The sequence below is a fragment of the Homo sapiens genome, chromosome 12 (genome assembly GCF_000001405.40).
Source record: "Homo sapiens chromosome 12, GRCh38.p14 Primary Assembly".
In the NCBI taxonomy this organism is placed as follows: domain Eukaryota; kingdom Metazoa; phylum Chordata; class Mammalia; order Primates; family Hominidae; genus Homo; species Homo sapiens.
The window spans coordinates 94970993-94996216 of NC_000012.12; the positions used below are offsets into that span (position 1 = coordinate 94970993).

Consider the following 25224-nt stretch of genomic DNA (forward strand, 5'->3'; position numbering starts at 1 on the left):
GAACCAGACTCAGGAAATACGATATCTCTGATAACCTCCTTAGAGAGCGTCAATAAAAGCCACCCAGTTTTGATGACTTTCAGCCTTCGTGTCTCTCCATTCAAGTTCCAAATTCCCATGAGAAAATCTGGCTTGGCTTAGGTCTTCCCATATAATGAGCTATGGTAGTAAGGTACGGTCCCAAAGCACAAACAGGACCACAGAGGCTGTTTCCAGAAAAGGGAACTGTAAACCAGGCAGCTACCCCAATACAAGTCTACTTCAATCACCATGTTTGGAAGCATCTATTTTGCAGTTGGAAAACAACAAAGTGAAGGGCAAAAAGGCACGAAAGACATTGTTTAGTCACACAATTTTAATTGTGAATTATAGTGAATGGTAAACAGTAAAAGAGTAATTACATGAAAAGCTCCATATTTTGCATGTTTCAACTGTTCTTCATTGTCTTTACTTGTAAGGTGTTGAAGGTGGGATCCACTCCTGAATCTTCTTTCTAGTGGTAGAATAAGGTACATATTGTTCTGGGGTGCCAGTCACGTTGAATTTATGGTTCGTCCAAATGAATTTACGAGCAGTAAGTGGTTTTGTTGTTGGAGGATCATCAGTCATACTGTGAAGCCAACGATGCCTTAAAGAGGGGAAAAAACCCAAACAGTTATGAAGAGGCAGTACAGCATAGTGGAAGGACGGTTAAAAACGTAGCCCTGGAACTATTTTGTTGCTTGGGTTCAAGCCTCAACTCCATCAGTTACTAGCTGAATTCTTCTATGCCTTAGATTTTTTCCATCTGAACATCCCTACTCCTCAGGGATGGTATAAACATAAAAGGAGATAATAGACATAAAGCACATAGAAAAATTCTTGTGTGTGGCAGATACGCAACAAATGTTAGCTACCGTTCTCATTACTGTATTTTTTTTTCTTCGTTTTCTTTCTTTCTTTCTTTTGGAGACAGGGTCTCACTCTGTCACCCAGGCTGGAATGAAGTAGCACTATCATGGCTCATTGCAGCCTCGAACTCCTGGGCTCATGTGATACTCCTACCTCAGCCTCCTACATAGCTAACACTACAAGAGCATGCCACCACCATGCCTGGCTGACTTTCAGAAGATTTTTGTAGAGATAGGATCTCACTATGCTGCCCAGGCTGATCTCAAACTTCTGAGCTCAAGGGATCTTCCTGCTTCAGCCTCCCAAAGTGCTGGGATTATAGGCATGAGCCACCATGCCCGGCCCATTACTGTATCTTATCAAATCTGACACTATCCATTTTCAGACATGCCATGATTTTATCTACCTCTAAGAAAGAAAAGATGCTACCAAATAAATTATGGCCACTACTGATTATAATATGTATCCTAATTTTAGACGTGGAAATGCATTTTAGAACTGATAAAAATACAGTATTACTATTAGGTGCTAGAGGCCGATTCTGGATTTTCAGTATGCTCAGGTTACTCTGGCTCATGAAGGTTTAGTTTAAAACCCATGAGGCTCCTGCTGAGAAGAGCCTGATGCATTGTAAATTCAAGCATGTGAGTGTAAACACTAGAGAATATGCAACTTGTTATATTAAAAAATTAAATCAGGGCCAGGCACAGTGGCTCATGTCTATAATCCCAGCACTTTGGGAGGACGAGGTGGGAGGATCACTTGAGGCCAGAAGCTCAGGACCAGCCTGGGCAACATAGTGAGACCCTGTCTTGAGAAAAAAGTTAAATCGACCCCCAATTCACAAATATTTCAGTCATAAGTGCTTAACAATTTAAGAGGATATGTTCCAGAAATCAGACCTAAAAGCTGGATACCTGGAGTTGAAAGGGAAGAGACCACCGATGCTGCTGCTAATGACAGGGAAAGGAGGAATCAAAGTTTGTGGGACAGAGTGCAGGAAGCTAAGCTGAGGGGTTTACATGGGAAAGAAGGGAAGACAGAATTTGTCCCAGCCTCTAAGACCTGGAGCTCACAAGACAGAGATGACCTTATTGGGGGAAAAGAAAATGAGAAGACAGCCACAGAACTGCAGCCCGGGGGTGGGGGGAAAAGTGATTATCTAGCTGCAGAGAAAAGGACAAGAGGAGGATGTTTCAGTGGAATAACTAAAACTAAAGCTAATGAGAAAAAATTTTTGTTGCTATGTAAACCTAAGAATATTTGCTAGCAGTAATTGATAGATATAGCTAGGTAACTGACTAAAAACCAGTCTGAATAGAGATAAAATATGATTACAGTTGCTATGTTTATGTCTAAAGATAATTGTATCATGATCAGCTTATACAATGAAGAATGCAGAAGGCTGTACAAGCTAGGTCAGTGTCTGTCTTACATCCTCTAAAGGAAGCTGGGGATTAGTGAAAGTGACCTGGACCAATAAACTGTAACCATTCATATGAGCACACGAGCGCTGAAGCCCTTATGAGACGATAGTGGTGAGCCAGGCTCCACTAACCACTCAGAGGAGGGATTAGCTGTTAAAGTCAAGGCTGTCACTTATCAAGGGGCTTTATGTGAGCTTACGGCACAGCTGAAATATTTAACTTTTACCTCACTGAGTCAGCTTAACTAAAGAAAAATTTTATTCAAAAAATTGCTGTCAAGACTCCGGAAGGTTAAAATGATATTTAAGGAACCATAGTCCCAAGCTTATGCCTATTCAGTTACTTAAGTGAGGAAGTGAAGAGCTCATGGAGAAATGGAAAATGCTCCAAAAAAGGAAAAGATAATTTTTATCACAATACACAAAATCTGAAAATATTTATCCTAGCAAGCCTACATGCAAGAATCAGGGAATTAATAAATAATAAACTATACCCATTATGGCAGTTTATAAAGAATTATAAGAAATAAGGAAATGTTTATAGTCTGCTAGGCAAATATAACCCTTGTTATTTTATTATTAAATAAGGGGTAAAAAAAAATCATATCTTTCAGATTGCCACACCAGAGAGTTTTACTTGCAAAACAGACTCTTGGGTCTTTTTTTTTTTTTTTTTTTTTGAGACAGAGTCTTGCTCTGTGGCGCAGGCTGGAGTGCAGTGGTGATATCTTGGCTCACTGCAACCTCTGCCTCCTGGGCTCAAGTGATTCTCCTGCCTCAGCCTCCCGAGTAGCTGGGATTACAGGCGCATGCCATCATGCCGGGCTAATTTTTTTATTTTTAGTAGAGACGGGGTTTCACCATGTTGTCCAGGCTGGTCTCGAACTCCTGGCCTCCAGTGATTTGCCCGCCTCGGCCTCCCAAAGTGCTGAGATTAAGGCTACCGCTCTGGTCCACAAGGAGCAGTAAAAAAAACCTACAATGAGATATTATCTCATCCCAGTTAAAATGGCTTTTATACAAAAGACAGGCAATAATAAATGCTGGGAGGATACGGAGAAAAGGGAACCCTCAAACACGTTGGTGGGAATGTAAGTTAGTACAACCATTATAGAGAACAGTTAGGAAGTTCCTCAAAAAACTAAAAATTGAGCTACCATATGATTCAGCAATGATGCTGCTGGGTATAACCTAAATGAAAGGAAATCAGTATATCGAAGAGACTTTTGCACTCCGATGTTTGTTGCAGCATTGTTCACAACAGCCAAAATTTGGAAGCAACCTAAGTGTCTGTCAACAGATGAATGAGTAAAGAAAATGTGATACTTAAATACAATGGGGTACTATTCAGCCATAAAAAAGAACAACATCCTGTCATTAGTAACAACATGGATGGAACTGGAGATCATTACGTTAAGTGAAATAAGCCAGGTACAGAAAGACAAACATTGCATGTTCTCATTTATTTGTGATACTTAAAACTCAAAACAATTGCACTCATGGAGATAGAGAGTAGAAGAATGATTACCAGAGGCTGGGAAGGGTAGTGGGGTTGGTTTGGGGATTAGGGGGAGGTGGGGATGGTTAATGGGTATAAAAAAAAATAGTCAGAAAGAATGAATAAGACCTAGTATTTGACAGCACAACACAGTGACTATAGTCTATAATAACTTAATTGTACATTTTAAAACAACTAAAAGAGTATAATTGGATTGTTTGTAACACAAAGGACAAATGCTTGAAGGGATGGGTACCCCATTTTCCATGATGTGATGATCACATATTGCATGCCTGTGTCAAAACATCTCACCCCATAATATATACACCTACTATGTACCCAAAAAATTAAAATTGTTTTTAAAATTGAAAAGTGTATGTCCTAAAACACTATAAACAGGATTAAAGACTAAAAGAAACAGGGGAAAATATTTGTAATATACAGAAAAAAGGTTCATCTATCATTACAAATCAGAAAAAGTCAAATATCCAATAGAAAACTGGACAAAAAACATCAAGAGATGTCAACAAAGAAAAAATTATAGTGGCAAACAATGAAGTTTAATCAAGGCAATGCACATTAAGGTATAATTTTTTACTTGCTAAATTAGCAAAGATTTTAAAAAATAAAACCCAGAATCAGTGAACTTAAAGAGAAATCAGTACTCATATACTATTCAATATATTTATCCTGAGAATATAAATTGGTATAGCCCTTCTAGAGGGCAATTTGGCAGCAGGTATCAAAAACTTATAAAACATGTATACTCCTGGTGGATCCATTTCCATTTAAGGAAATGAGGATATGAATACTCATGTACAAGGATATTTATCAGAGCTTTATTTATAACAGTGAAAGAATGGAAAGAACAAAACCAAAAATAAAGGGAATAGCTCATGGCATATCCATATGATGGAAGACTAAGGCATTATTAACATTTATGCTATAGATAATATTTTGGCCAGGTATGGTGCCTCACACCTGTAATCCTAGCACTTCTGGAGGCCAAGGTGGGAGGATCGCTTGAGGCCATGAGTTCGAGACCAGCCTGGGCAACATGAGACCCCATGTCTACAAAAAATGCAAAAATTAGCCAGGCATGGTGGCAGGCACCTGTAGTCCTAGCTACTTGGGAGGCTGAGGCAGGGATCACATGAGCCCAGGAGTTCAAGGCTGCAGAAAGCCATGATCGTGCCTGGACAGCGGGGGATCCCATTTCTAAAAAAAGAGAAGAGAGAGAGAGACAGAGAATATTTTATGACTTGAGAAAATGTTCACCATATATGTTTTAAAAGCGGGTTATTTGCCTAATTTATTTAATACTTATAGATAGCATTTATAAGTCATGGGCACTAATCTATACACTTTACAAATATTAACCTATTTGATCCTTATAACAACTCGTGATAAATATTATTATCCAAATATAGTAAGTGAGAAAACCAGGCTGCCAAAAGTTAAAATAACTTGCAAACCCAGGCTACTTCTTCAAAAAGCTCAATTACATTAATAACAAAAACAAAAGAATATATATGCATAGAAATCGAGGAGATAAGAATAAACAGTTGTCCCTAGTGTCTATGGGGGATTGATTCCAGGACACCCTGTGGATGCCAAAATCCACAAATGATCATTTGTGGATATGCAAATGTAGCATTTGCATATAATTTATGCACAACCTCCTGTATACTTTAAATCATCTCCAGGTTACTTATAATGCCTAATATGATGTCTGCATATGACTTCATTCATGTGGATTCAACATAATACTCGGCACACAGCAAATCCAAGTTTTGCTTTTTGGAACTTTGTGAACTTTTTTCTGATATAATTTCCATCTAATGTTGGTTTAATCCATGGATGCAGAACCCACAGATACTGAAGGTCAAATGTGTATCAAAATATTAATAGCAGTGGTTTCTACAAGTGGTGGGATAACAGGCTATTCTTATTTCTTTTGTTATTTTTTGAATTTTCTATAATGAACATGCTGAGCAGTTCCTCATTCACCAAGAGTAATACATAGTTTATTTCCACATTCCACATATGGAATTTTCCAACAAGGCATCTTTGTAAAATGTTAGAATCAATATTAAATGAAGCAATGAATACTCAGTGAAATGTGTTAAATAAAAGCTGAGTTTTAAAAATCAAAACAATCTTGTCTTCTGCTTATAATGAACACATTTTAACAGAGAAAGGGTATAAAGAAAAGTAACATTCTGTAACATAAGAGAAACTACCCAATTAATGCAGTTTGTAGTTTCTTAGAACACAGTCTCCTAATATTCTGATTTTTCTGGAGCAGAAAATAAACATTAGGAAGGACTTACTTTGAAGAAAATATTATCTGCCATTGACAGCTAGCAATTTATTTAGAGAAATAATATTTTAGAAGACTGTAACAGGCTAGGCACAGTGGCTGTCACATATAATCCCAGTGCTTTGGGAGGCCAAGGTTGGAGGATCACTTGAGGCCAGGAGTTTGACACCTTCTCTCTCAAAAACAAAAACATTAGCTGGGTGTGGTGGCATGCACCTATACTCCCAGCTACTCAGGAAGCTGAGGCAGAAGGATAGCTTGAGCCCAGGATTTTGAGGTTGCAGTGAGTTATGATCACGGCACTACACTTGGCCTAGGTGACAGAGCAAGACCTTGTGTCAAAAAAAAAAAACACCCCTCCGCCCCTGCCCCAAAAACCCCACAAAACTGTAACAAATGATTCAGTGGGTCAAAGTACTAAAAAGGACAGGTTGAAATTGCAATGTAATTCAGAGGTAAATCTAGTTTCAAATTCATTAGAAAGCTATAAAGGAGTAGCAGAAGATGCCATTTTTGGATCAGCTAAAGTGAAGAAAACTGATTATCATACCCAAAAAATAATGTTTGTTTCAAGTAAAATGTATATGTACATCCATTCATTCAACAAAAATCTATTGCAGAAATACTATGTGGTAGGCACTGTTCCAACATGGTATTTGGGGAAACATACAATAAATTAAATAATATAAAAAAAATGTTAAGCAGAGGTAGTTAAGTGCCATCAAGGAAAAAACCAGAGCAGGGGAAGAGTATGGAGTATGAGAGGGAACAGGGCTCTTATAGACTAGACCACCTGAAGAGCCACCAGATGGGCACTTGAATAAAGTGAAGGTGTGTGAGCCATGCCAAATCTGGGGAAACAGCTAGTGCAGAGACTGAGTTGGGAGTATGTTCACTGTTCAAGGAAAAGCAAGAAGGCCAATGTGGCCAAGTCAGAGTCAACAGGGCTGTGACTAGGACAGTGCATGCAGACTGTGATCACATAACGCCTCGCAGAGCATGGAAGGAGTTGGGGTTTTTACTCTCACTGTGATGGGAAGCCACTGGGTCATTCTGAGCAGAGACTTGATGTGTCTGATTTACATTTAAAAATATGCACTCTCATCACTTAGCATGTTGGGAACGCTAGTGCACTGCAAGAATGTTATCAAACCAGTTGGGAGGTGACTGTAGATGTCCAGGCAAGAGATAATTGTGCCTTGGACTAGGGTAACAGTCATAGAGGCAGTGATGAGATGTGGGATATATGGAGAAACGAAAGCAGGATGAACTTGCTAACAGACTGGACATTAGAGAATTAGACTGGGGGATGACACTGAAGTTTTGGGCTTGAGTAAACAAGAGTCATTTAAGTGCTTAGGAACATTTTGCTTGATAGGTTAATCTGCCTATGCACTGGGGATTTGAAGAATTGAAAAAACTCAAATATCAAATATGTTCAATTTATAAATGTGACTAAACTGCTTAAAGAGATGTATTAACTAAATTTGCAAATGGGTATTACTGTTTAGGACAATGTAATCCTTTCCATTAGAGTTTACCGAACATTCATCAAAGAACAAGAGAAAATGATTGTTCCTTATTTTTATGCAAAAAGTAATTCAATTTACTAATCTTTTTATCCTATTTATAAATTGAACCTCAAGAATGAAAAACAATTAGGTTTTTAAATTTGCAACTATAATAAATAGTATATTAATTTTAAATCCAAATTGCCCAACAATCCTTTCTAAATACAAAAGCCCCACAGAAACTAAAACACTCGAACTGACACAGTATTTAGTGAGACAGGAAAAATGTCTGTGACATATTAAGTGAGGGGAGGGAGAAGCAAGTCAGAAAATGTTGTATACATTATATGAGAAATGTGTAGGTATATGTTATTTATAATAATAAGCTTTCTTCTAAAGAAGGTGTGACCAATAAACTACAATCAGTTTTTCACACTGTGGTCTTTAAAAAACATTCCTCTGTGGAGTCCCAGCTACATGGGAGGCTGAGGCAGGGGGGATGCTTGAGCCCAGGAGTTCAAGGCTGTAGTGTGCTATGATTGCACCTGTGAATAGCTCCTGTACTCCATCCTCGGCAACAGAGCAAGACCCCACCTCTAAAACAAACACCCCCAAAACATTCTTTCTCTACCCAAAAGCAGACCCTCAAATAGTTGTTGAATCAGTGAATAAAATATTAACAGTATTGCTTCTGGGCCAAAGAATTGTTTCTACCTCATATTAATAATTCTCCAGATTTCCAAATTTTCTATAGCAATTGTATATTCTTATAATCAGAAAAAATCTTTTAATGGTGATTATAAGGATTGTTTTAATAACATGAAAAATTGCTTATAATATTGATGGAAAAAAGCAAGTAAAATGGAGTATGGTTATGAACACAACTACACAGAAAGGATTAAAAAGGGACGGGGTGAGGTGGCTTACACCTGTAATCCCAGCACTTTGGAAGGCTGAGGCAGGCGGATCACATGAGGCCAGGAGTTTGAGACCAGCCTGGCTAACATGGAGAAACCCCACCCCTATAAAAAAAAAAATACAAAAATTAGCTGGGTGTGGTCATGGGACCTGTAATCCCAGCTACCCAGGTGGCAGAGGCACAAGAATTGCTTGAACCTGGGAGGTGGAGGATGCAGTGAGCTGAGATCATGCCACTGCACTCCAGCCTGGGTGACAAGAGCAAGACCCTGTCTCAAAAAAAAAAAAAAGGATTAATGGAACTATGTCCAATATTGACAGTGCATGTCTACTAGGGGCTATGTGGATCACTCTCCTTTGCTAGAATGTTCAAACTTTTCTGATCTCTCCTCATTTCTTTCAAGAACAGATTCTATGTAGATTCAATGAATTTCATATTGCCAAATCACACGGACATTTTTCTGTCATCATCTTCCTCAACCTCTTGGCAACAATCAATACAACGAGGCTTCCCTGGCTGAAATACTCCTCTTTCTTCCCTTTCCTCCTACCTTGCTAGCTACTTACCTTGTTCTTTGCTGGTTTGGCAGGTTTGACCATTGTCCTAAGCTCGATTTGTATATTCAGCTGTTTACTTGATATATATCTAATCATGTAGATTTCACAACAGGTATCACACACTTACTATGTCCAAAAAGAGGCTTCTGATTCTAATTCTCCACCCCTACCAACCCGCCCTTCTACAAGTCTTCTCATCTCAGTGAATGGTCCCAGCATTATGGTACCAACCACTCAGGCCCCAAACCTATGAATCATCCTTGATTCTTCTCTATCGCCTCCATGTAATGGCCCTCACCTGCCACCCTGTTTCTCTACAAAGGCTTCTAGAACACATCACGCCAAATGAAAAACAGCTGACCACCACGATGTTAAGCATCTTAAACAAATTGGCCTTTCAAGGGCAAAACCATTTATTAATTTTTCCCTGGGCACAGAAAAATTTTCAGGGACAAAATTATTTTCTGTTAAAAAAAAAAAGAAACCCTTTACCATACACTATTATTTTTTAAATGATGTATTTATGTATTACTTCAGTAAATTAATTTTAATAAGAAAAATCAATGTACGAGGAGAGACTGGTGTAACTATGCTGAGAGAGAAAGACATGTTACTAAGAAATGAACAGAAAGTGCCACCAAGTGGGAAAACGGTATACGTGCAATAGAGAAAAATCTAACCAAGCCATGTCTTGCTTTGTTTTTTTTTTTAACTTGGTTCAAAGGACTTCAAGGTTCCAATACTTCAAACCACAAAAAGCACATCTTTATTTCTTCTGATACAAGTGAAAACAATAATTTTATACAGCCGTGCATGAAATAGCCCAAACTTTCTACTTTTCTACACTAATTCTATATAAATGCTAACTACCATAACAATGAAAATGAAGACTTCTGTGTGTTACTGTGTAGACGGTGGCAATTAGATAACTTCAGAATAAAACTGAAGGCAATAAAATTGGCATTGAACAAAATAAAGACAAGAACAAGAGAAAAAAAAAGAAAGAAAAAGTAGTATAGAATAGTACTTGAGCTGGGCACGGTAGTTCACACCTGTAATGTCAACACTTTGGGAGGCCAAGGCAGGTGGATAGCTTGAGCCCAGGAGTTTGAGACCAGCCTGGGCAACATGGCAAAACACTGTCTCTACTAAATACATACATACATACATACATACAAACAGTAGCCGGGCATGGTGGCCCGTGCCTGTAGCCCCAGCTACTCCGGGTGCTGAGGCAGGAGGATGGCTTGAGCCCAGGAGGTCGAGGCTGCAGTAAGCCAAGATCGCACCACTGAACTCCAGCCTGGGTGATAGAGCGAGACACTGCCTCAAAATAAAATAAAATGTTATTTGTTATCTACTTAAATACTTTCAGGGTATTCTACTCAATCAAATTAAATATAAATTCCTGAAGAAGAAATTAATATCTTGTTGCTGATCCCATAAGAGAATAAAACATATAGGAAAATGAAGGTACTGTAAAAAAAGACACTAAATTAGAACACAGTATTAGTACTAGTATTCATTAAGTGCCTATAAACTACAAGAGAACAAAGACCATACATATTTCACTCACCACTGTGAATATATAAACCCATCAAGGCCTGACATATAGGGGGGTGCTCAATATATATTTGTTGAATGAATCAAGTTTGTAAGCAGACTGTGTTAGGTTCTAGGCAATCCGTTTCTTATTTTCAAGGCACGTGTAGCTCAACTGCCCATCCAAGAAGTTTGCACCACCATCTTTTGTTTTTGTACTGGTGGACTTAGCAGCCTTTACTGGTGGCTGGTAGATTCAAAGAAGTGAAGGCCTTTAGACCAGAGAGATAAAATGAGCTCATTTTTCCACAAGATTTCTAATGTTTCCCATAAGATTAGAGAACATTAAATGAAACAGAGAAGCTGACTAAAATTCTATCCAAAACGCTAATGTCTCTAAGGGAAATCTTTCCCTAGGTGAGATTATGCAGCTACTGAACAGACTCATAAGACTATCATAGGCCACACTTGGCATCTGAGAACTCAGGACAGAGGACAGGAATCACAGCTTGCCAGCTGGGCAGCATCAGATGTTCCTCTCCCTGGGAGTCTGTGCAGTTGTTCATGCAAGTGACAGCTCACCCAGCCGTCCAGAAGCTATTTTCTTTTTCTTTTCTTTTTTTTTTTTTTTTTTGAGACAGAGTCTCTCTGTTGCCCAGGCTGGAGTGCAGTGGTGTGATCTCGGCTCACTGCAAGCTCCGCTTCCCAGGTTCATGCCAGTCTCCTGCCTCAGCCTCCCAAGTAGCTGGGACTACAGGCGACCGCCACTAGGCCCGGCTAATTTTTTTTTGTAGTTTAAGTGGAGACGGGGTTTCACTGTGTTAGCCAAGATGGTCTCGATCACCTGACCTCATGATCTGCCTGCTTTGGCCTCCCAAGGTGCTGTGTGTGAGCCACCACGCCCGGCCCAGAAGCTATTTTCTTTAACTCCCTAGATGACACAGCTCAGGCTCAAGGGAGATGAGAGCATCATGAGACAGGTGCAGGAGCTGCCCTAACTTCAAAGCTTTACGCTCCACCAGAGCCAACGTCTCTAGTAACTCCAAAGGCATAGCTTCAGGATTCCCTTTCCCACAGGGTCATGCCAGTTCTAAGAGCAGCAGCACTCACCAGGCATTTCTAATTCCTCTCAATCCAGAGGCAATTTCCCAATCAGAGGTCGATTTTATATTGCAATACTGTTAAAACAATTTTATCTGGTTTCCAGGATAACAGAGCTAGGCATTTAACTGAAGGTCATATTCTCCTAACCCTTAATTTATAAAGTTAAGTTGAATACTACACTAGATAAAATCAAACCAAAATCCTATCTCCAGCATCAATCTCTAGCCTAACCAACAGGCTAGTTTTCAACTGTCTACTCACCTTCTCACGTGGTCGTCTATCAAGCTTCTCATACTTAACGTAGACTACCTCTTCTAAACCTGCTCCCCCTACTCCACTCTTCCCTATCTCAGTAACTGTACCTCTAGTAGTTCAGGCCAAAAATATTGAAGTCATCCTTGACTGGTTTTTCTCTCAAAAGCCAATCAATCAGCAACTCCTGCTGACCCCATCTTACTTGGCACCCTCTAAGAGGGCCTCCAACGATCACTGCCTCCTGGTATTCACACCCTTGTATAATACCCTCATTTTAAGTGTGGCTGGACTGATTGACTTGCTTCTAATAAATAGACAACTGAAGTATGGGATATCACTTCCTAGATGAGGTTTAAAAAGACTGTTCCTTCCACCTTGGTCTGGGGAAGCCAGACGCCATGTCAAGAGGTGGCCTGTGCAGAGGTCTACTGAATGAGCTGGGAAGCAAATCTTCTGAGGTCTGTCTACAGCCACATGAGTAAGTGTGGCAGTGGGTCCTTCCCAAGTCAAACCTTGAGAGCACAGCAGCCTCAGAGAAGATCTCAGCTGTAACCTTGTGAGACCCTGAGCCTGGGGCACCCAGCTAAGCTACACTCAAATTGCTGTGAGATAACATTTACTGTCTTAAGCTAAGTTTAGGATAACTTGTTCCACAGTATAGACAACTAATACGATCCCAAATCTCACAACCTGCATCACTAGCACCCTAGTCCAACCCCATCAACAGCCTAGGCCATGACTTACAACAGCTTCTTAAGTGAGTAGCCTGCTTCCACACTTGCCTTGCCTCCTTCCTTTATTCTTCACAGCAACCACAGAGATGCTTTAAAAATGTAAATCAGAGTGCAAAAGTCATTAAGTGGGCCCGAGGAATGTAGCACTTGGTATGTGAGGGAGGGTGTTGCGGTAGCCCAGCAAGATGTGTCAGAGCCTTTGTGGGGAGAAGAGCCTGTCCACACAAGGAGAAGGGAGGGTGGCAAGCTGGTTTGGGGTGCTGGAGGCAAAATAGGGTAAGGAGGAAGTCCAGTGGGGGAGGGGGGATGAGAGGGCAGCAATGGGAACTTAGTTACACACAGTGGAATTGATCAAATAACTATATTAAGAAGAAACCAGCTATAAATGTGGAAAGGGAGAAAACTGGAGTGTAAACTGTAGTGCTGGACTGCCGTCAGTGGTACTGGTGGGGACACACAATCATTACCCATGTTTCCTAGCTTGTCCACTGAGAAGGCCTGGAAGCACTGACATTCCAATAATGATGAGCACATCTGACATTCATATCTTAGTTTCTAATACCACTCTCCACTAAAAAACAAGCAAACGGCCGGGTGTGGTGGCTCATGCCTGTAATCCCAGCACTTTGGGAGGCCAAGGTGGGTGAATCACCTGAGGTTGGGAGTTCAAGACCAGCTGACGCAGGAGAATCGCTTGAACCCAGAGGCGGAGGTTGCGGTTGAGCTGAGATTGCGCCATTGCACTCCAGCCTGGGCAGTAAGAGTGAAACTCCGTCTCCAAAGAAACAAAAAAGCAACAAAAAAAAGCAAACAAACACAGGGCTCCTCAGAGAAATGGCTGTCTCCAAGGCTGGAACAGAGAAACTCTAAGATGAACCTGGAACACCTCATGTCAGAAAGTAAGAAGGTGCTCCAAGAATGATGAAGACTTTTCAAAATGACCCCCTCTAATGCTAATAGCCAAAAAAAAAAAACAACAAAAAACCCATATATATATAATATATATATATGGAATTAAAAAAACTCACCATCCTGGCCAACATGGTGAAACCCCATCTCTATTAAAAATACAAAAATTAGCTGGGCGTGGCAGCGCACGCCTGTAATCCCAGCTACTCGGGCGGCTGAGGCAGGAGAATTGCTTGAACCTGGGAAGCAGAGGTTGCAGTGAGTCAAGATCGCACCACTGCACTCCAGCCTGGCAACAGAGCGAGACTCTATCTCAAAAATTAAAATTAACATAACATAACATAAAATAAGATAAAATAAAATAAAATAAAAGCAAAGTGGCTGGGCATGATGGCTCATGCCTGTAATCCCAGCATTTTGATAGGCCAAGGTGGGAGGATTATTTGAGGCCAGGAGTTACAGACCTGCCTGGGTAACATAGGGAGACTGTGTTTTTATAAAAAAAATTTTTAAATTAGTCGGGCATGGTGGCACATGGCTGCAGTTCCAGCTACTTAGGAGGCTGAGGTGGAAGGATTGCTTGAGCCCAGGAGGTCAGGGCTGCAGTAAGCCATGGTCACACCACTGTACTTTTGCCTGGGCAACATAGCGAGACCCTATCTTTAAAAAAAGTGGTTGGTAGGCCGGGCGCAGTGGCTCACGCCTGTAATCCCAGCACGTTGGGAGGCCGAGGTGGGTGGATCACGAGGTCAGGAGATCAACACAATCCTGGCTAACATGGTGAAACCTCGTCTCTACTAAAAAAATACAAAAAATTTAGCTGGGCATGGTGGTCAGCGCCTGTAGTCCCAGCTACTCAGGAGGCTGAGGCAGGAGAATGACGTGAACCTGGGAGGTGGAGCTTGCAGTGAGCTGAGATCACGCCACTGCACTCCAGCCTGGGAGACAGAACAAGACTCCATCTCAAAAAAAAAAAAAAAAAAAAAGCGGTTGGCAGGGACAAAGTACCCAGACATTTCTCAGAAGACATACAAATGGTCAACAGCTATATGAAAAAAATGCTCATTGTCACTAATCATCAGGGAAACCAGATCAGACTGTGCAACATAGCAAGAGCTCACTTCTACTAAAAATAAAAATAGGCCAGGCACAGTGGCTCACACCTGTAATCCCAGCACTCTGGGAGGCCGAGGTGGACAGATCACCTGAGGTCAGGAATTTGAGACCAGCCTGGCCAATATGGTGAAACCCCGTCTCTACTAAAAATACAAAAGTTAGCTGGGCATGGTGGTGTGCACCTGTAATCCTAGCTACTCAGGAGGCTGAGGCAGGAGAATCGCTTGAACCCGGGAGGCAGAGGTTGCGGTGAGCTGGGATCACGTCACTGCATCCCAGTCTGGGCGACAAGAGCATAACTCTGTCTCTAAATAAATAAATAAATAAATAAATAAATAAGCTAGTCTCAGCTACTCAGGAGGCTGAGTTGGGAAGATCGCTTGAGCACAGCATATTGAAGCTGTAGTGGGCTATTAATGTGCCACTGAACTCCAGCCTGGGAGACAGAACAAGACCCTGTCTTCAAAAGAAAAAAAAAGAAAAACAAGCAGAGTAGAATGGTGGTTACCACGGGCAGGAGGAGTGGAGAGTATAAGAAAGAGGAGATGTTGATAAAAGAGTACAAAATTTCAGTTAGGAGGACTAAGCTTTAGTGCTCTACTGCACAGAATGGTGACTGTAATAAATAATAATTCACTGTATATTTGGAAATTGCTAAAATAATTTTAAGTGTTTTTACCACAAAAAAATGATAAGTATGTGAGGTAATTGATTTACTAATTGGCTTGATTTAATCATTCCACAATGTAAACATGTATCAAAACATCATATTGTACCCCACAAATATATACAATTATTATTTGTCAATTAAAAATAAAATTTTAGCCTGGGCAACACTGTGAGACCCCTATCTCCTAAAAAAAAACCAGCAGGTTGTGGTGATGCACCCCTGTAGTCCCAGCTACTTGGGAGGCTGAGGCAGGAGGATGGCTTAAGCCCAGGAGGTTGAGGCTGGAGTGAGCTGTGAAAGCACCAGTGCACTCAGCCTGGGCGACAGAGTGAGACCCTATCTCAAATAAAATATTTTTAAAAACTGAGAACCCCTCCCCTCTAAAAACCTCCAAAGAACTCCAAATGCAGCTTGAATGGGTTCCAACTAGTCAAATTGAGCCCAATTTGAACAATAAAAGAACCATTTAAAGCAATGGATTATAACCCATTGATTAAAATAGGAGTTGATACAGATACAAATAATGAATTAAAGCTTTGATGAGTAAGGGGATACTTACATAACCTCAAAGTGTCTCCCCACAAAATGCTAATTAATTTCAAAGGGAAAATTAGTAACTTTAGAATGGAGAAAACCGGCAGACCCCTTAATCACGTGATAGAGGTTTTCATTAATAATAGGACAAAAACAAATCAGCTGCTACTTAATAGAGTGCAACAAGAAAAACATGGCTTCAGTGACAGGAATGTCACAGAAGCATAGCCTGAACCTAGTCATGAGGAAACATTCAACAAACTCACTGAGGGACCTTCAACAATATAACTGTCAAGTAATTTTCAAAAGCGTCAAGGTCATGAAAATCACAGAAAAGTTGAGGAACCAATCAAGTGTGAAGGAGACTAAAGAACTTGAGATCCATATGAAATGTGTGATTGGATCTCTCTATAAAGGACACTGTTGGGACAACTGACGAAACCTGAGTGGCTGAAGTTCAGAACACGCTGCTCCAAAATATGCAGCTCTGGCATATGGACTATGCTGAGTTAAAGGCACTTGAACAACAGCAGGCACGGCTGGGTGTGGTGGCTCATGCCTGTAATCTCAGCACTTTGGGAGGCCAAGGTAGGCAGATCACTTGAGGCCAGGAGTTCAAGACCAGCCTGGCCAACATGATGAAACCCCGTCTCTACTTAAAATACAAAAATTCGCCAGGTGTAGTGGCACATGCCTGTAATCCCACCTACTTGGGAGGCTGAGATAGGAGGATCATTTGAGCCCAGGAGGTCGAGGCTGCAGACTGTACCACTGCACTCCAGCCTGGGTGACAGGGCAGGACATTGTCTCAAAAAAAAAAAAAAAAAAAAAAAAAGGTAAAGAAAAACAGCAGGCACAAGAATAATATGGCCTTTTTCTTTCTGAAAGCAGGAGAAAAAATTCCCACATCAAAGATATCCTCCCTATACCAGAAGGAAACTATCATTCTACATCAAGGACAGGAAATTGAGGTCAAGGGAAATCTGCACAAACGTTGTTAAATTAACTTTTATCTTCTTAGTCACTTCTCCACCCAATTAACCTACTCAAGCCCAAGTCCCTTTGTCTTCTCATTTTCAGTGTTCTACTCCTTGTCCAATTCAGTATCTAAGTGTTCAACATGAACTGCATCTTTGGGTCTTCATCCCTTATGAGGGCTCCACATCACGGAACTCTTATATTAAATAAATTTGTATGCTTTTCTCCTGTTAACATGTCTTTAATTCTCAAGCCCAACCAAAAAGCCCTAAGAGGATAAGGGTAAAATTTTGCCTCCCTTTCATAGTGTATCTTTGTTACTTTCCTGATATTTATGGTCATATTGTGGTTATGTAGGACAATGTTCTTGTTTGCAAGACGTACACACTAAAGTATTCAGGAGTGATGGGGCATCAATTTGGCAACTTACTTTTATTAAAATATTAGTAATGATTCTGAAAGTTCGGGATTATTCCAAATGTTAAAAAACTGTAAATCAGATCACACCCTATCTTACCTTCCAGTGACTTCCAAATAAATTCAGACAAAAAGCCGAAGTATGTACCATGGCTTACTGAAAGATTCTCCCTGAGGCCTGAAAGCTTGAAGAGATGAATAACTCCTCCCTTCTCAGGCCCAGTCCCAAGCTTGGGCCAGCAGCGTGGGTCAGCAAGACAGCAGAAGCAGGAAGAGAGCTGGCCGAAAGACACATACCCCCTTGAAGATTGAGGGGCAGGCCGTCCAGGTACTATGTAGCAGTTACATCAGACTGAGACACTTCCTGTTTACAGGAGACTATAAAACCCCTGCCCCATCCTCATTTGGTGCTAACGCCATTTTAGGCATCAGCCCACCTGCACCCAGGCGCTCATTAAAACAGTGTGTTGCTCCACACTGCCATGTTGTCTGCTGATGCACTCTCAGGGTTCGAGCCGATACAAGAACCTTTCATCTTACAACATCTACATGATTTGGGCCCTAGCTATTTCTCCTACCTCGTTTCTTAACATCTTCCCCTCACTCATTCCATTCCAGCCAAACTGGCCATACTGCTGTTCTTTGAACAGACCAAGCAATACATCTCAAACATACAGGCTTTGCACCTGTGGTTCCCTCTGCCTGGAACGCTTTCTCCCCGCTTCTACGTCTTTCCTCAAATGTCACTTTCTCAAAGAAGCTTTCTCTAACTGCTGTATAAAACAGCCACCTGACCCTTCCATTGCTCTTGATTCCCATGAGGCCCAGCTTCATATTATCTTCCTTGCATTTTTCATTACCACAATTATATAAAGGATGTTTTTCTGCCTTCCCCTATGAAAACAAGGACCTTGTTTTATTCACTGCTTTACCCCAGGTTCTTGGCACCTGGTAGGTACTAAATAGTTATTTGAATAGGGATGATAAATTGTATCTGTACAATTACTCTCTACACGTGATAATACCTAGCTCTCTAATTAGAGATATATCAACCCAACATCAAATTTATTCATGAATCAAAGGTAAGAATCCACAGATTTAGAATTCCACAGTGTGTCACGGTCAACAAAGAGGGGTTTGAGAAACAAACAGCTAAGCTTGTTCAACACCATTTCTCCCTAAAAAGATTCATCACAAGCCGTGAAGCTTCCCATACAAATAAGGGTCATCAAAGGTACTCAGACCTTAGGAGGCTCCTCTCCACAAAGAAATGCAGCTTTGAATCCTCACTTGCCCTTAGGCACCTGCTGGAGTGATCTTCTACAGCTCTTAGCTTCATTTTCATGTGGTCTCAGATCAAATAAAAGGACTTGCTCCACTGAATAGAACTTTTAGCTTTTCAGGTTTTTACTATTTTATAATTTTAAACATAATTAATCGCACATAATTGAAATCACACCCCTACCCCTCATCTCCCAAAATGTGGCCCCTGAGCACCAATGTTAGATGAACATTTTGAAGCAGGTAGATGTCAATCTGAATAAGACAGCTCACATGCCTTCTATAGCCTCCCAGGACCAATTCCACCCAAGAAACAATCTCTCAGTTAAACAAAAACCAGGACACCTCAGCTCCTAAAGCCTGAATTCCATGTTGACACCTTGGTCTCAAATAGTCCTCCTAACATATAGAATGCCCCTTTGGAGAAGGTTGATGGTTCTAAACCTAAAACCAAAGCTCAATGCATGCTGGGCTTAATACCTAGGTGATAGGATGATCTGTGCAGCAAACCATCATGGCACATGTTTACCTATGTCAACCTGCACATCCTGCACATGTACCCTGGAGCTTAGAATAAAAGTTGAAGGAAAAAAATAAAGAGACATAGAATGTGGAAAAAAAAAAAACAAAAAAACCCCACAGCTCCTCAGACCTTAACGGAACCACAGGTTGTTATTTCCCACTAAAAAGAGTGCAACAGCAATCCCCAAATGATGTAGCATGAGAAAGCTCCTAATCAGTGCTGCTTTCTCACGGTAAGAACCAAAGAGCTTTTTTTATTCAGAGACAGGGTTTCACTCTGTCACCCACGCTGGAGTACAGTGGTGCAATCATACCTCCTTGCAACCTCAAACCCCTGGGCTGAAGGGATCCTCCCACCTCAGCCTCCCAAGTAGCTGGAACTACAGGCATGTACAACCATGCCTGGCTAATTTTCTAAAACTTTTTTTATTTATAGAGATGAGGCCTTGTTATGTTGCCCAGGCTGGTCTCAAACTTCTGGCCTCAAGCGAGCCTCATGCCTCAGCCTTCCAAAGTGCTGGGACTACAGGTATGAGCCACCACACCAAGCCCCAGTGAGCTTTTAAAGATATTATCCATTATCATATTCTTCAAATTACATCACTGACACAGTCAGTGCTCACAATTAGTCCAAGTAGTAGAACAGGGGTTGAAATCTGGTTATAGCTCAGCAAAAATGTACAGTACAAATATGTTTTGCTTAGCTCACAGTATTTGAAAAACAAACAAACTATTCTGTCCAATCGAGTAGCCTACTTATCTTAAATAAAAATTTTAAAATGTCCTCAGTTGCATTATCCACATTTTAAAGTGCTCTAGAAAGGCCAGGTGTGGTGGCTCATGCCTCTAATCCCAGTATTTTGGGAGGCAGAGGTTGGCGAATCATTTGAGTCCAGGAGTTTGAGACCAGCCTGGGCAACATGGCGAAACCTCATCTGTACTAAAAATACAAAAAAATTAGCTGGGCATGGTGCCACATGCCTGTAGTCCCAGCTACTCAGGGGGCTGAGGCAGGAGGATCACTTGAGCCCAGGAAGTCGAGACTGATTGTGCCATTGCTCTCCAGCCTGGGCAACAGAGTGTCCCCGTCTCAAAATAATAATAATATTAATAATAATAAAATGTTCTGGGCCACACGTGGCAAGTGGTTACCCTATTGGACAGGGCAGATAAAGAACACTTCCGTCATTGTGAAAAGTTCTGCTAGATAATGCTGTATTTAAAATGTCAAATATTTTTAAAAATTAATTGAAAAAAAAAAGAACTGACCCGGTGCAGTGGCTCATGCCTGTAATCCCTACACTTTGCGAGGCCAAAGTGGGTGGATCACTCGGGGCCAGGAGTTCAAGACCAACCTGGCCAACATGGTGAAACCTGTCTGTAGTAAAAGTACAAAAATTAGCCAGGTACGGTGGCAGGCACCTGTAGTCCCAGCTACTTGAGAGGCTGAGGCGGGAGAATTGCTTGAACCTGGGAGGCGGAAGTTGCAGTGAGCCAAGATGGTGCCACTGCACTCCAGCCTGGGCGACAGAGTGAGACGCTATCTCAAAAAAAAAAAAAAAAGCAAGAAAAAACAAGAAGTCTCACAAATAAATACAGATGTCCACCTTTGAAAAATCATCCAGAAACCCTTCGCAGAATTCTCACCTGATGGAACTGCAGGTTGCTGAATAAGCCTGCTGCCCTCTTTGACAAGTCTGTACTTTTCAGTTCACTGCAGTCTCCACTACGTCCTATTGTTTCATAGCTGCACTTCACTCACTTATGTCACATATCTGGGTTTCCAAGTGACTCTTTAGAACAGAGGCAAATACACTGAGATTATCCCACTTTCTACTGAAGACAGCCCAAAACTAGCTCTGATGATCAAATTCAATTAAAATAAAATGTCACAGCCCACCAGATATACTTATTTCTAGTTTTTGGGTGAAATTTTCTAGACCACTGGAAAGGAGCTCCAGAGTTTAATTGTATATCAACTGTATGGTATTATTTCAGCAATCTATGAAACAGATATAAGTACTTTGCTTTGAAATACGTCATGCAAAATTTGGTAATTCAAGTGAGCATTTAGAATTTCATTTCAAAATATGCGTATTATAAAGTCATACAAATTTTAGAGACCTAAGGAATTTTAGGGCTCTCATTTTATAGACAATGAGACTAACCCCCAGAGAGGTTAAGGAACTTGCTTAAAGTCAAACTGCCAGATAAGATTACAGCCAAAGTTCTTTTCACCTTTCGCTTCACCCAGACAGGTGATACTATGGCATATTGTTTTTCCAAGACAGCCACACCATTACACATCCCAATATATACTGTGATGTTGACATGCCTCCATCAAGAGATAGGTTCATGTTTTCTCATGTAGAACTTGGGTGGAGCTTTCTAATTGCCTCAATCAATGGAATATGAAAGTGACACTGGACAATTTGCAAGACTAAGTTAGATAAGGCAATATGGTTCCTGCCTAGCTCACTCTCTCAGAGCACTTGCCTGTGTCAGCCCAGGCAACAGGAAGGTGTTCCAACCCACAGGCCCAACTATACCCCCAGCTGACAGCCAGCAATAAATGCCAGATACTAAGTGAACAAGTTTTCAGATGATTCCAGTGTCCAGACTTGGAGTCTTCCAGCTGAGGCTCCAGACATCAGACATCTAGGAGCAGAGACTAGCCACCCTCGTTTTATCTTGTCTGAACTCCTGACCCAAAAAAAAACTATGGAGAGAGAAACAGTTGTTGTTTTAAGCCACTAAATTTAAGGGTAACTTATTATGCACTCAATGTAAATAGGACAGATACTTTCAGAAGAACACCACTGACTGCTTTATAGAGAGATATTCAATAAATATTTTTGTAATGAAATAAATATTGCCAAGTTAAATAAAATAAAATGAACCAGGCATGGTGGCTCGTGCTTATAATCTCAGCTACTTGGAAGGGTGAGGTGAGAGGATTGCTTGAGCCCAGGAGTTCCAGCCTGGGCAACATAGCAAGATCCCATTTCAACTAAAAAAATAAATAAAAGCTGGGCATGGTGGCTCATGCCTATAATCCCAGCACTTTGAGAGGCCGAGGTGGGTGGATCACTTGAGCCTAGGAGTTTGAGGCCAGCCTGGGCAACATGGCGAAATCGCATTTCTATAAAAAATACAAAAATTAGGCCGAGTGCAGTGGCTCATGCCTGTAATCCCAGCACTTTGAGAGGCCGAGGCGGGTGGATCACCTGAGGTCAGGAGTTCAAGACCAGCCTGGCCAAAACGGTGAAACCCCATCTCTACTAACAATACAAAAATTAGCCAGGCGTGGTAGCATGAGCCTGTAGTCCCAGCTACTCGGGAGGCTGAGGCAGGAGAACTGCTTGAACCTGGCAGTCAGAGGTTGCAGTGAGCCAAGATCATGCCACTGCACTCTAGCTTGGGCAACAGAGTGAGACTCTGTCTCAAAAAAAAAAAAAAAAAAAAAAAAAAAAAGCCAGGCACGGTGGCTCATGCCTGTAATCCCAGCACTTTGGGAGGCCGAGGTGGATGGATCACCTGAGGTCAGGAGTTCGAGACCAGCCTGGCCAACACAGTGAAAACCTGTCTGTACTAAAAATACAAAATTAGCCAGGCGTGGTGGCTCACACCTGTAGTCCCAGCTACTCGGGAGGCTAAGACAGGAGAATCGCTTGAACCTAGGAGGTGGAGGTTGCAGTGAGCCAAGTTTGTACCACTGCACTCCAGCCTGGGCGACAGAATGAGACTCTGTCTCAAAAAAGAAACAAACAAACAAATTTAAAAACAAAACAAAAATTATCCGGGTGAGATGGCATGGGCCTGTAGTCCCAGCTACTAGGGAGGCTGATGTGGGAGGATCACTTGAGCCTGGGAGGTCAAAGCTGACATGAGTCATGATCATGTCACTGCACTCCAGCCTGGGTGACAGAGTGAGACCCTGTCTCAAAAAAGAAAAAAAAGAAAGACAAATAAAATGTTGTCTTAGCTTACCATTCAGGAGGCACCATGCTTCCATCCACATCCCAGAATGTGTTTTTGCCATTCATTTCAGTAGTATATACAACCCATCGGTGACGGCCTGGGTGGGAAGATGAACATTTAAAAAGAAAAACTTTTTTTTTTAAAGCATAGATGCATAATATCAAAGAAGACAACCTTTTTATTAAGAAAAGACTTTTTGTGATCTTATATAAGAGAGCTATTGGAGGAATAACACCCTGGGTGAATTCGTGAAGGTAAGCTCCAGGAGGTGTGTGGCAAACTTTAAGCAGCAACCCGCAGCAAGGACTGAGATGATTCACTGCTGTGGGTGGGGCTCAGGCCTTTCCCACAGGGGAGAATCCTTGCTTCCCTGCCAGCTCCCCACAGAGGGAGTAGCAGACAGGATAGGAAAGTGTGTTCCCAGATGTACAGGGTATTCAGAAAAGAAGGTGTTCCTCTTGAGACTGGGGAAAAAACACATTTGTAGCAATCATACTTGAATTCTATGTCTCCACATAAGTATTTTTTTAAAACCACCCTAGATCCTTTTGGAAATTTGTGAATTATATACAATAAGCAAACATTAGAAATGATGGTTAGGTACATAGGACAGCTCATGTCATCAAAATAATATGGCTGCACTCCTCATTTAGGAAATTTCTGTGCACTAGTTGAGGGGCCTAACCACTACTTATTTACACAATTGGGTCCTTAAACTGAGCAAAGACTTGGGCTTTGTCACTTATTATCAGTGGTTATTAGGCAAATTTTATGAGCCTCAGTTTCTTTATCTAGTAAAAGTGGATGACTATACCTACATCTTAGAGTTGCTGTGAAAATTAAACATCACATACATTCACCTAGTTCAGCATCAGCCATATAAGCACATAATAAGTATTAATTCCTTCTACCCCTTCCTTACTGCTCTTACCTGCCAATAGGGAACACTGAATCCATTCATTCCTATGATGGACTTTAAACCAATAAGTAAAAGGTAATCTGCATTTCATTTACAGGGTTTTCCCAGGTAAACATATAATCAACAAAAATTGACTAACGGTACTTAAACATGACCTCATCTCTTTTTAAAAATACAGATTTCAATCAACATTTACTGCTTCATTTAGAGAAATAAATCTTAAGAATAGCTAACTAAAAGTAAACTATAATCCAGTGAGGCAGGGGAATGTGCAGGCAGATGGAGGAGACCTTGGGAAAGGTTTCATAAGTCAAGCCCTGACAATACAGTTAGGCTATAATGATGGAAGTGGGCCCTAACAATCTCTCTCTCTCTCTGTCTGTCTCTCTCTCTGTATTTCTTGAAATGTTAAATGCCTATTCTCAGACTCAGAAATTCAACTTTATTTATTTATTTATTTATTTATTGGAGACGGAGTCTCGCTCTGTCGCCTAGGCTGGAGTGCAATGGCGCGGCCTCGGCTCACTGCCTGCAACCTCCCCTTCCTGGGTTCAAGCGATTCTCCTGCCTCAGCCTCCCGAGTAGCTGGGACCATAGGCATGTGCCACCATGCCTGGCTAATTTTTGTATTTTTAGTAGAGATCAGGCCAGAAATTTATTTAAACACATGAATGTAGTTACAAGCAGGTTTACAGTAGCATCATTCCTAATAGCAAAAAGTCAAAAGCAATCTATGTGTCTATCGATAGTAACAGGATTGAAGAAATAATGGTTCTTCCATACACTGGAATGTTGTGTTGCTATTTTTAAAAATGCTGTGCATTTTTTTTTTTTAATAAACACAACTGGCTGGGCACGGTGGCTCACTTCTTAATCCCAGGACTCTGGAAGGCTGAGGCAGGGGGATCACTTGAGCTCAGGAGTTCGAGACCATCCTGGGCAACATAGTGAAACCTTGTCCCTACAAAAAATACAAAAATTAGCTGGGCATGGTGGCACATGCCTGTAGTCCCAGCTACTCTCAAGGCTGAGGTGAGAGGATCACTTGAGCACGGGAGGCAGAGGTTGCAGTGAGCCGAGATCACACCACTGCATTTCAGGTGGGGCAACAGAGAGACCCTGTCTCGAAATAAAAGA

At 41.2% G+C, this 25224-nt stretch overlaps 1 protein-coding gene across 2 annotated transcripts in view, besides 1 other annotated feature; it reads right to left on the bottom strand.

Annotated features, from left to right (window-relative positions):
- Positions 341-25224, bottom strand: part of NDUFA12 (NADH:ubiquinone oxidoreductase subunit A12) — a 32365-nt gene continuing 7481 nt past the window's right edge. Inside the window, exons 3-4 of one of the 2 annotated variants that reach the window (NM_018838.5) lie at positions 23178-23265; positions 341-628 (exon numbers count right to left, since the gene is read on the bottom strand). In NM_018838.5, coding sequence (NP_061326.1) covers positions 448-628; positions 23178-23265 — 269 coding nt within the window. In that variant the 3' untranslated portion in view covers positions 341-447. The remainder of the gene's footprint in view (positions 629-23177; positions 23266-25224) is intronic. The other variant, NM_001258338.2, reaches the window with a different exon arrangement.
- Positions 18369-18880: an enhancer, noted in NCBI's record as "NANOG hESC enhancer chr12:95383137-95383648 (GRCh37/hg19 assembly coordinates)". NCBI's record gives its function as "activates a minimal SCP1, AML or CMV promoter by ChIP-STARR-seq in naive H9 embryonic stem cells {active_cell/tissue: H9 hESC(naive)}" and the evidence as "EXISTENCE:reporter gene assay evidence [ECO:0000049][PMID:30033119]".